At 37.1% G+C, this 12,989-nt stretch overlaps 1 long non-coding RNA gene across 2 annotated transcripts in view; it reads left to right on the plus strand.

Annotated features, from left to right (window-relative positions):
* LOC105374505 (uncharacterized) overlaps window positions 1-12,989 on the plus strand; it is a 190,382-nt gene that overhangs the window by 103,536 nt on the left and 73,857 nt on the right. The gene's annotated exons all lie outside the window — the stretch shown is intronic.

Here is a 12,989-nt window from a genome sequence, read left to right on the forward strand (position 1 = left end):
TTTCTTTAGTGATCAGATGCCTGGGTGACCAGCCCCCCCGTGAAAACCTTGGACACTGGGTCTTAAGTGTGCTTTGTTAGGCAGAAACACTTCACATACATTGCTGCATTTCATTGCTGGAGGAAGGAGCACATTCTATATGATTGTCCCCTTGAGAGAGAGAACACATAAAGCACACTAAAGCAAGGATGCAGGTACAACTGCCTCCAAGTCCCATGAGTCCTTGCAGCCAAGTCACCAAATGGGTGGGTGTTTGTGAAATGTCCAAAATAGATGGGTGAAGTTTTTGTGTAAAATTAGAGATAACTTTTTGTATGGAATGTAGACAAAAATAAGATTTCAGGGGCCTCTAAATTTATTATGCTAAGGAAGAATTAAGCCCTGGAGATTGAGTCACAGAGCAGTTTTGCAATTCTGTGTCTTAGATGATAGATTAACTCACTTCTTCATTGTTCTTATTCTGTAACTGACTAGGGGAGACCAGAGACCAGGCCCTCCCCATTCCGGTCAGTGATCTTTGTTATAGATTAACTGCCTCCTTTATTGTCCCATTCCTAACTCCGACTAGACACTGCAAAAGACCCCATGACTGCTACACCTTCAGTGTGAAATGTTACATATACATTTCCTGAAAGAAAAAAGACTACTTAAACTAATTAGATCATTGTAACTATACATTAAGCCTTATATAGGAAGATGTTAAACTTTGTCTACATAAACAATCTCAAACTTCTACCCTTTGAAACACCGACTTCCATTTTTTGGAATTTGCCTTTCCTGGGTGGCTATCCTTAAACAATTGCGCTTGAATAAACTCTCTTTAAACTAGATTCTGACCCTTTTGATTATTTTAAGTTGATATAAACATATACTGAGGAGACTTTATATGTAGCCATGCATGTTTAAAGATCTTCTGTATGTGAAATAGAATCCAGTTAACAGAATTAGAAAGAGGATATTAAGCAAATTTGACAGTCCTAAAATCACAAGAAGAATGAAGATAGAACCTGAAAACGTTTGCGCAGACAGTGGAGAATAACATCATCTGCGGGGAGACTCAGTGATGGATAGATGGCTTTACTGAACCTGGGAACTCGTACCTCCTGCTGGCGTGGCCATGAACACAGTGGATCAACTAAAAGCTCCTGAATTCTTATTGCTATCCTATGCTGTTTCTCACCATTCCTGCATCTATATGTGATCGCAGAGCCTGCTTTATAACTCATCAGCTACCATAGCAGCTGACTTTTTCTGCCACACTCTCAAGAGTCAACAAAGAGAGGCCAAGCATTCTCCCCCACTCCCCACTGAGAGAGTAGGATTGAAGGAGAGAGTGTGAACAAAGGGTCTCAGAAGGTTGAGAACCACTGAACTAACATTCTCTAAGGATCATGATGACCCTGAGATTCTATGATTCTGAGTCCAAGCATTCTGAGTCTTGGTTCCACATCTGTAAGATGGACACACCCCTGTTGACTCACAGCATTGTTGGGAAGATTGGCAGAAAGTTCTAAAGAATAATGGTGGCCGGGCACGGTGGCTCACGCCTGTAATCCCTGCACTTTGGGAGGCTGAGGAGGGCAGATCACGAGGTCAGGAGATCGAGACCATCCTGGCTGACACGGTGAAACACCGTCTCTACTAAAAATACAAAAAATTACCTGTGCGTGGTGGCGGGCACCTGTAGTCCCAGCTACTCTGAAGGCTGAGGCAGGAGAATGGTGTGAACCTGGGAGGCAGAGCTTGCAGTGAGCTGAGATTGCACCACTGCACTCCAGCCTAGGCAACAGAGCAAGACTCCGTCTCAAAAAAAAAAAAAAAAAAAAAAAAAAAAAAGAATAACTTGTCAGAACAAGGAAGGAGGCATGGGCTCCAAATCATCCATTTTACAGAGGAGGAAAAGGAAACACAAGCCATAACTTGGCTCTTTTGTTCAGTTAAAGTCAGAGTCAGGACTAGAATGCAAGTCTCCGGACCCCTCTGTTTGGCCATTTGCATGCATGTTAAAGTTCTTTATTAACTTTTTGCTGCTAGGCAAATACAGTCAAGTGTGCTATGTTATATTGAGTGCCTACTGTGTGCTAGATGCTTTATGTATATCATCTCTTTTACTCCTTACAGAAATTAAAGATGGGAACACTCAGAGACATACAGGACTACTTAAGGTCTATATCAGTCCTGAGTTTAAAACTCAGATCTAAGTTCTCAATCATTTTCTCTCATGTAATCTTTGCTGCAGTAATAATAAAATAAATAGCATTTCCTGAGTGTTGACTATATTCCAGGCACCATAGCAAGCTCTTCATGAATTATCTTATTTAATCCCTGCAAGAATGTTAGCATGAATCGTGATCTCATCAGCTGATTTCATCCATTCCTAAGGCAGCAGAGTCTCTGTTAAATCAGTGCTGAGTGTGTGGTAAATTATTAAATCTCAGTGCCAGTCCTAGGATTCTGAGACCAAGCCAAATGCTAGTGATTAAGATTATAACTCTGATTTAGGACAGTGTTGAGGCTAAAGCCATTTGTAACTGGACAGTCAAGTCTACACTGATCAAAATCAGCCTCTGCCCCAAGTACTCTTGGAAATGATGGTTTTCATTTCATTCTCAAACTGCTAAGTTGTAAGAGTTTGGTAGTAACATTGATTTGAGTTTGAATCCTAGCATTGATTCTACCAGGATTCATGCAAGTTATTTAATCTTTCTGAGCCAGCTTCCTCATTTACGTAATGGGGATATATACAACAGAAACTGCCTTCTTAAATATTCAAAGTATTTAATAACTAGCCCAGCAAAGACACCAAGCTATTAGTGTGAAAACCCCATGGAAGTTCCCTGCTGAGCTGAATAACCAGAGCAGGGCAGTTCAGGGGGTCTCTGGGGAAGGTTCAGGGTAGTGCTGCTGGTCTAGCCTTTCCTCTCCGTTTGTCATGTTCTCCACAGATGGATGTGGCAGTGAACTTGGAGTGGGTGGGGAGGATTTTGGAGACTGAGACAAGAAAAAAAGAAAGCTAGGAAGTTGGTGAGAGGATCTGATATGGTTTGGCTCTGTCCCAACCCAAATCTCATCTTGAATTGTAGCTCCCATAATTCCCATGTGTTGTGGGAGGGACCTGGTGGGAGGTAATTGAATCCTGGGGGTGGTTGTTTCCCATGCCATTCTTGTAATAGTAAACAAATTTCATGAAATCTGATGGTTTTATAAAGAGGAGTTTTCCTGCACAAGCTCTCTTGCCTGATGCTATGTAAGACATGACTTTGCTCCTCCTTTGTCTTCCACCACGATTGTGAGGTCTCCTCAGCCATGTGGAACTGTGAGTCAATTAAACCTCTTTCCTTTATAAATTACCCAGTCTCAGGTATGTCTTTATTAGCAGTGTGAGAACAGACTAATACAGGAGCCCACGAGGCCCACAAATGTGGAAGTTCTTGCCTCAAATCACCAAGAGGAGGTTGCAGCTGAAACTAAGAAACTAGAGGTAGTGGAGGACAGTGACTCTGTTGAGTTACCACTATGTACTAAGCATGTTTTAGAGGGTAGTTCTAAAAGAGAGAGTGGTTTCTAGAGGTAGATGTCCTAAGTGTAATGTTTGTTCCATCACTTACTTGCTGTGTGGCGTAGAAAAGTTTCCTAGCCTCTATGTGACTCACTTTTTCCATCTGTAAAATGGGAATAATAATAGTACACGTCACATTTAGAAGTGAGAATTAAATGCTGAGTAAAATGCTAAGAACAGTATCTGGCAAAAACAGGGCACTTATATGTGCTGACTATTAATATTATAATTAATATTATATCTGAACATTTTATTTCTTTGATTATATCACAGATTTTATATTATGGTCTCCATTTCATAGATGAAAAACTCGAGGTTCAGAAAGATAAGGCAAGATAAGGCCTGATTCGGGGTTAGAATCCAAATCTTTCTGATTCCAAATTCAAACTCTCTCCCCAAGTCTTAGGAAAAAGTGGTAAATCATGCTACATAATATGAGATATTAATGAAAGTGTTCTGATGATGTATATGACAACCAGTTCATAGTATCTGACCACGTGCTATTAAGTAAAAACACAGAACAAAAACAAAGGCTCAGTGCAGCTTACTAATTCTTGTGTAAAGGGGGCATGGGAAGACAGGTAGACGTGTTCTGGAGGAAGTTTGTACCAGCTTGTAAGGACTGATTGTTAAATTTTCAGGATTTGTTCCGGCTAGTTGGCATACACATGGTATTTTGAAATTGACATGGTAAGGAATATTTACGCTACGGAAACAGGCAAACACTATGTTGGAAAGATAAAAACTACTACAGAATGGTAAACTACGAAAGAGGGCAGATGGGGTAGAATAAGGGGTAGAAACAAGATTTTTCTGGGTAGAACTTTCTATATAGTGCAAATGTATTACCATTAATAAAATCTAAAAATAAAAATACCTCAAGTCAAATACCAAAGTCAGATACCAAACTGTCATCAGAGTGAACAGACAATCTATAGAATGGGAGAAAATTTTTGCAATCTATCCATCTGACAAAGGTCTAATATTCAGAGTCTACCAGGAACTTAAACAAATTTACAAGAAAAAAAATAAACAACCTTATTAAACAATGGGCAAAGGACATGAACAGACACTTCTCAAAAGAAGACATTTATTCAGTCAACAAACATGAAAAAAAGCTCAACATCACTGATCATTAGAGAAATACAAATCAAAACCACAATGAGATTACATCTCATGTCAGTAAGAATGGTGATTATTAAAAAGTCCAGAAATAACAGATGCTGATGAGGTTGTGGAGAAAAAGGAACACTTTTACATTGTTGGTGGGAGTGTAAACTAGTTCAACCATTGTGAAAGACAATGTGGTGATTCCTGAAAGATCTAAAGGCAGAAATACCATTTGACCCAGCAATCCTGTTACTGGGTATATGCCCAGAGGAATATAAATCATCCTATTGCAAAGATACATGCACACATACGTTCACTGCAGCACTATTCACAATAGCAAAGAGATGGAATCAATCCAAATGCCCATCAAGGATAGACTGGATAGAGATAATGTGGTACATATACACCATGGAATACTATGCAACCATAAAAAGGAATGAGATCATGTCCTTTGCAGACACATGGATGGAGCTGGAGGCTATTATTAGCAAACTAATGCAGGAACAGAAAACTAAATATCACATATTCTTACTCATAAGTGGGAGCTGAATGATGAGAACACGTGGAATCATTGTGGGTGGGGAGGAAAAATACACACTGGAGCCTGTCAGAGGATTGGGGATGGGAGGAGGGAGAGCATCAGGAAGAACAGACAATGGATGCTAGGCTTAATACCTGGGTGATGGGATGGTCTGTGCAGCAAACCACCATTGCACACATTTACCTATGTAACAAACTGGCACATTCTGCACATGTACCCCTGAACTTAAAATAAAAGTTGGATATTTTAAAAAAGAATACATGATTAGAGAGAGAGAGAGAGACAGAGAGTTCATACACACATTCACACATGCATCCACACATGTACATGCATTGTTTATTGTAGCTCTTACCATGGAAATAGTAGCAATGAGCACCTCTAGAATCCATATTATGATCACTAATTCAATTCCACAGTGAAAGGAACTAGAGATTCCTAGAAAAATGGCAAATTTCAGGTCTGAGGCAATCACCCCCCTCCCCCCAAAAAAATGATAATACAAGATGAACTAAAGGCCTTTCATTGTGCTAAAAAGCAAAGAAACTTTCAAAGTTTACTACTGTAACATAAAAAAGACCCAGGAGCCAACTTACAAAGTGTCATGAAATGTTATGAGAATTTGAACATAAAAACAGTAATAATTGTAATAGATTTAAACATTCAGTCAATAAAAATCCACAAGTCTATAGTAATATTTAGAAAATGAAAAGAAAACCCCTATTTCTTATCATTTTAGGCAGTTTAAAACAATTGATTACAGTCTGCCCTTCATATTCATGGGTTCTGCATCTGCGGGTTCAACCAACTGCAGATTGAAACTACTTGGAAAAAAAATTCACAAAGTTTTAAAAAGCAACACATTGTTTGCTACATGATGAGTATTACATTGAATTCACGTAAATTAAGTGATGTGGCAGCATTATATCAGATATTATAATATTCTAGAGATGATTTGAAGTATATGGGAGGATGTGTGTAGGTTACATGCAAATACTATGTCGTTTTAACGGACTTGAACATCCAGTGATTTTGTTCTATCAGGGGTCTTGGAACCAGTCCCCCACAGAGAATGAGAGAGAACTGTACTTTGAAAATTGGTAATTACATGGATAGTGTTAAGCAAGTATCTTTCTTTTCCAGTAGAATCTATGCTTTGGTGTTACTAAATAGCCCTAGTTAAGATATAAATCTCCAGTGTATAAAAGAACATCAGATTAAGATATAAATATCCAATGTATAGGTAAATAGGAAAGGAGTGATTGAATTTTTAAAAACTTTAATTTATAAACCCTCTTGACAATATTGTTTGGAGCGAAAAGTTTCCATAGATGTTAAAGTCATTAGATGAACATTTGATGGACAACTGGATGTTTGAATAATGTCAATAAACACCACATAGGTTGCTTTCTGGATGCAGGTGAAAAATGACAACTAAAATTGAGTTCAGTAGTATTCAATCTTAGCTTCCATAGTGGTGTTTATTAGTTTGCTTGGGCTGCCTAACAAACTACAAACTACCACAAAATGGTTGGCTTAAACAACAGAAATTTATTTTCTCACAGTTCTGGAGGTTAGAAATCTGAGATCAAGGTGTCGGCAGTTGTTTCCTCCTGGGGCCTCTTTCCTTGGCTTCCAGATGTCCACCTTCTCATGTCCTCACATGGTCTTTACTCTATGTGTCCAGGTAACTGTGTTCGTATTTCCTCTTCTTTTAAAGACATCAGCTACATTGAATTAGGGCCTAATGACCTCATTTTAACTCAATTATTTCTGTAAAGACCTTATCTCCAAATATTCCAAGTATTCTGAAGTACTAAGGGTTAGGACTTTAACACACGAATTGTAGGGGTTCACACTTCAGCCCATAATGGTAGGTTAAACAAAGAATATGTATTTTTGAATATGATGTGATGCAACATGTAGTATACTACAATATCCATCATGTGTTCTAGTCAAAATTATCTAAATTAATTACATCAAGTTTACAGGAAATACAAAGAATAAAGGAACAAGCTAAATAATACCCCTAGGAGACAACCAAACAAATTCACCAGCTGGGACAATCTGCAGGACGACGTGTCCAGTCTTTTTAACAAGTAAGATTTTTTTAAGTAATAGGAAATGCTTACAAATAAAAGAGACTTAAAGGAATAAACAGCATGAACTGTGCTGTATTGGATTGGATATTGTTTTAAATGATTTAGATGTAAAGATTGGGGGTTAATTGAGGATATTTGAATATTGCCTGGATAGTGGAGAAAAAGGAACTTTACCAAATGGAAAGGTAATAATTATGGACCCAAAACATTAAGTACCGTATAATTTTACATTGATTTTAAAAAGGGCTCTTTGCTTCTGACCAAGACAGGAAAAAAGAGATCAAATTTACCCTGTAGCCTGAAACAACCAAAAAAACGTAACAAAATATATGAAACAATGATTTTTGGAACACTGGACATTAGAAAAATAGTGACAGTGATCTTCAAGAGACAGTAAACACAATAAAGTGAGCCCAGCTTCTCCAGCTTATTGAATTGAGGGGGTTTCCAGGCTGTAACATAGTGGGAGAGAACCCAGGTAGAGCCTGGCAAACTTCATGAGTTGAGGAGATGAATAAATGAGGTAATGAAGCTTAGAGTCTAAGAAGATCAAAGCAGGTAGAGTTCACAAGATAGCATACCAGAGAGGAGACAGCTGCACACAGAGAGAAAACCAGAGAACTGCAGAGGGACTCCCACTTAAGTATTCAACAGAATTCTGATCAATGCATATTTGTGAGGAAAGTACCTGAGGCCTCTAGGGGGGCGGGGGGGAACAAACACTGGAAAGGTTTAAGGCAGGGATGTCCAATCTTTTGGCTTCCCTAGGCCATATTGGAAGAAGAATTGTCTTGGGCCACACATAAAATATGCTAAAACAAATGAAAGCTGATGGGCTAAAAAAAAGTTGCAAAAAAAACTCATAATGTTTTAAGAAAGTTTACAAATTTATATTGGGCTGCATTAAAAGCCATCCTGGGCTGCATGTGGCCCATGGGCTGTGGGTTGAACAAGCTTGGTTTAGGGAAATCAGTGCCTGGAGCTCAGAGAGGATCAGAATACTGTATGTTCCCACAAGTCAAACTGGAAAAACCTCATGATTCATAGGCCACTGGGTGGAGTACATTGAAGGATTTTGCCTTAGTAATCGCTAATAAATAAGCCTAGACTGAGCATTGTTCTTGTCATATATTAGTAAACATTAAAAGCAATACTGGGGAAAAAAAGCAATACTGGAAAGGATCAAACTATTTTAAGTAAATTAACTGTGTCCTGCAACAAAGTTCACATATATTTATATAAATACAAAAACATCCACCACCACACAGGGTAAAATTAACAATGTCTGGCATCTAATCAAAACTTATGAGACATGCAAAGAAACAGAAAAATGTGATCCATAGTAAGGAGGAAAGACAATCAATAAAAACCAATAGAACTGACAGAGATGTCAAATTAGTAGAAAAGAACATCAAAACAGTTGTAACAGCATTCTATGGGTTCAAAAAAAATTAACTACAGACATAAAATATATAAAAAAGACCCAACATAATATTCTAGAAATAAAAACTACAATGTCTGAGATAAAAAATACACTTGACAGAATTAATGGCAAATTAGATGTTGCAGAATTAAAGATTAATGAACTTGAAGACACAGTGATAGAAACTATTTAAAAATAAAACATGGAGTAAAGGGTGAATGATAGTAATAAAAAAGATGAACAGAGCATCATTAAACCATGCTACAACTCCCCTGGCCTAATATATGTGTAATTAGTCCTGAAGAAAAGAAGAGAAAGATAAATAGATCAAATAGTTAAAGAAATAATGGCTGGAAAATGTACAAATTTGAGTGAAATCTGTAAATCCACAGATCCAAGAACCTCAATGAACCCAAAGCACAAAAATTATGAAGAAAACAGCATAAAGATGTACCATTGTCAAATTGCTCAAAGCCACAGGTAAAGGGAAAATCTTAAAAATATCCATACAAAAAAGATAATTTATATTTAGAGGAACAAAGTGAAGAGTGACAGAATTCTGAAGAAAGAATGCAAGTAAGAAGACAGTGAAGCAACAATTTGTCAATACTAACCCCTCAAAAAAAACTGTTAACCTAGAATTTTACATTCAGAAAAAATTGTAGAAAACAAAGGCAAAGTAAAGACTTTTTCAGATATTCAAATGCTAAAAGAAGTTACAACCAGCATACCTATACTATGGGAAATACTTAAAGGAAGTCCCTTAGGCAGTGGAAAAATGATAACAATTTACGAATGGGAAACTTGTTTTAAGAAAGGATGAGACAATGTTGAAGATAAAGTCCACAGCAGACAAGACAATGTTGAAGATGAACTCTACAGTGGCAGATCACCCACATCAATTTGCAAGAAAAAAATTCATCTTTTTTGTGTTCTAACTGAAGAGGACCAGAAATCAATAGCAGAAACAAGAGCCAACATCATAGACATCTCAATTGGTTCAGCTTACACTATTCTGACTGAAAAATTAAAGTTGAGTGATCTTTCCACCCAATGGGTACCAAAACCACTGTGTCCAAGTAAGCTGTAGACAACAGCAGAGCTTTCAATGGAAATTTTGGGAATTGTAAACAAGTGGGATTAAGATTCTGAAACCTTTCTTTGAAGAATTGTAAGAAGAGATGAAACAAAATTGTAACAAGAGATGAAACTTGGCTTTACCAGTACAATCCTGAAGACAAAGCACAATCAAAGCAATGGCTACCAAGAGGCAGAAGTAGCCCAGTCAATGCAAACGCTAACTGGGCAAGAGCAAAGGCCATGACAATAGTTTTTTGGAATGTTCAATGTGCTTTGCTTGTAGGCTTTCTGAAAGCCCAAAGAATGATAATATTTGCTTATTATGAGAGTGTTTTGAGAGTTAGTCAAAGCTTTAGCAGAAGCAGGGAACCTTCACCAAAGAGTTCTTCTCCACCACGACAATGTTCCTGCTCATTCCTTTCATCAAACTAGGGCAATTTTGTGAGAGTTTCAATGGAAAATCATTAGGCACTCACCTTACAGGTGAATGATTTGGGTTATTCTTTTATTTTTTCATTTCTTAATCTTAAAAAATTTTTAAAGGACACCCATTTTTCAGCTAATCATTTAAACAAAGATGGCATTGACATGGTTAAATTCCCAGGATGCTCAGTTCTTTAGGGCTATACTAAATGGCTGATATCACTGCTTACAAAAGTGTATTGAACTTGATGGATCTTATATTGAGAAATAAAGTTTATATTTTTTATTTTATCTTTTATTCAAGTTTTCCGTGAATTTTTTGAGATCCTCTCATATACATGTCTATATTACAGTGGTGATATTATACTATAGTTTTGCAAAATATTACCACTGGGGGGAACTGGGTAAAAGTATATGGAATCTCTGTATTATTTCTTGCAATCTACTATGATCTAAAAATAAAAACTTCAAGAAAACAAAATTTATTGTTCAAACAAACATAGTAACAAGTCAGTGTATAATTTCTGACACTGTGTAAAAGTAAAATGTAAAAAATCCACAGCATAAAGGTTGTCGGAAAGATAGAGGTATACTAGTGTAAGTTTCTCATGTTATAAATGAACTTTTATAATATTATTTAAAGTAGACTGTGGTAATTTAAAGATGCATACTGTAAACCCTAAGGCAATCACTATACTAACACAACAAAGAGCTATAGCTAATGAGCGAAGAAGGAGATACAATGGAATCATAAAAATGTTTAATCTAAAAGCAGGCAACAAGAAAGAAAAATGAGGCAAAGGAAAGATAGGACCAATAGACAAGGAGTAGGAGGTAGATTTAAACGTAGTCAGGTCAAGAATCATTTTAGCAGAGATTGTCAGTTTATACTGAAAAGGTAAGGTCCATCTATATTCTGAGTACAGTAAACTCACTTTAGATAAACTCACTTTAAAGACACATATAGGTTAAAAGCAAAAGCATGGAAAAATATAAAAGGCTAACACTAATTTCAAAAAAGCTGAGTGTCTACATTAACATCAGACAAAGTAGATTTTAGAGCAAAGAATCTTACCAGAGATGAAGAAGGACATTTTATACTAGCAAACAGGTAAATTCATCAAGACAAAACAATTTGGGACTTTTATGCCACTAATAGTGGAGTGTCAAAATATATAAAGAAGCACCTGACAGAATGGCTAAAGATAAAAACAATCCATAAATATAGTTGAAGATTTTAATACCCCTCTTTCTATAGTTGATAGAACAGGTAGGAAGAAAAACCGATAAGGATATAGAAGATTTTAAGAACACATAGAGGTGGCAGAGGCAGGACTCAAACCTAGGTCGTGTAGCTCCAGAACCCTTGCTCTTAACCTATAGGCATGCTGATCTGTATGTTGTAGCCATCAGGATATTTTGCTGTGTCAGTGATTACCCATTTACAATGGATGAATTCACTAAGTTCTAAGTATTAGCCTTCCCTGATTTTCAAAGATCCTTTTTATCTTTATTAGGTAGAAGACTTGAAGGAGATGCCATTTATGTGGGAGCTTGAAGGGATCCTGCAACAGGCACTGAAGTTGATTTGGTTTCAGATTTTTTCAGTGTCTGGATGAATTATTTTCTTGAATGAAACACTCTAACCTCAAAAGAGCAACTCACAGTAGTTCACAAAGCATATAGAGCCTAGGTAGTAGATCGTCTATGCCCTACCTGTAGGCCAACACGCTCAGAGGGGACCCCTTTGCATCTGATCCCACCTTTTACTTTATCTGTTTGTGCTTACAAGAATTTTCATCCTTCAGTTTCTAAGTGCAGATGTCTTTCAGTTGCATTGATATGTCTGGGCTCAGAACCACATGGTCTAATACAATGAACACTGCACTAGAAGTTCCAATCTCAAATCTGCTTTTCACTAGCCCTAGTCATTTAATGACTATGATCCTCAGCTTCATCCCCTTTCAATAGGGTCCATAATGGTCATTGTGAAAATTGAGATTATGTTTCCTACTCAATACTACTCAGTGTGGACACTCACTTGGCCCTTACCATTGTTAGCTTTCTTCCTTCCTAATGAACAAAAAATAGCAAGGAGCAAACTCAAAACCAGGGCACACAGAAGAGAAGAAGGGCCTGGCAGTCCATGGGAAAGAGTCAGTTTTCTTCATGTAAATGCCTTTTGGGGAGAAACAGCCTTGCACAGAAGTCTATCAATACAAATTATCCAGATTGTAAACTTGTTTGTATCTCACTTTCCGTTTTCTGCTGACATCTACCCTACATCAATAAAATCAGCTGAAATAATTTTAAAAGATGCAACAGAAAACTTTCTCTAAATTATAATCTTCCAGCATATTTCAGAATTCACTCCACCTGTATTCTGCGTATTTGATCTTGGAACAGAAGATTAGCAAAGTGGAATTGATAATACTTCCTATCTTTGAAAGGTGCTGAAGAGTTAATTCACTAAGCAACAATTTAAAAATAACACCTGAGTTATCTCAGAGCCATTTTCCTAAAGAGGCTGGTGGAACTACTGAAACAATGTTCTTAAAAGCTTTTTTAGTCCTTCAGTCCCCCAGAGATCATTCAAGGAGAATATAATTTTATGTGATGAAATGAGAACTGGAGGAGAATATAATAAGTGTTAAGTGATTGAATCAAATTGAGTGTTTGCTAAATGTTTCCTAAATGGGTTGACAAAAAAAAAGGCCATGAGATTCCATGTAGCCCTTCAGGACTGGTGGTCTT

The sequence above is a fragment of the Homo sapiens genome, chromosome 4, assembly GCF_000001405.40.
Source record: "Homo sapiens chromosome 4, GRCh38.p14 Primary Assembly".
Classification (NCBI taxonomy): domain Eukaryota; kingdom Metazoa; phylum Chordata; class Mammalia; order Primates; family Hominidae; genus Homo; species Homo sapiens.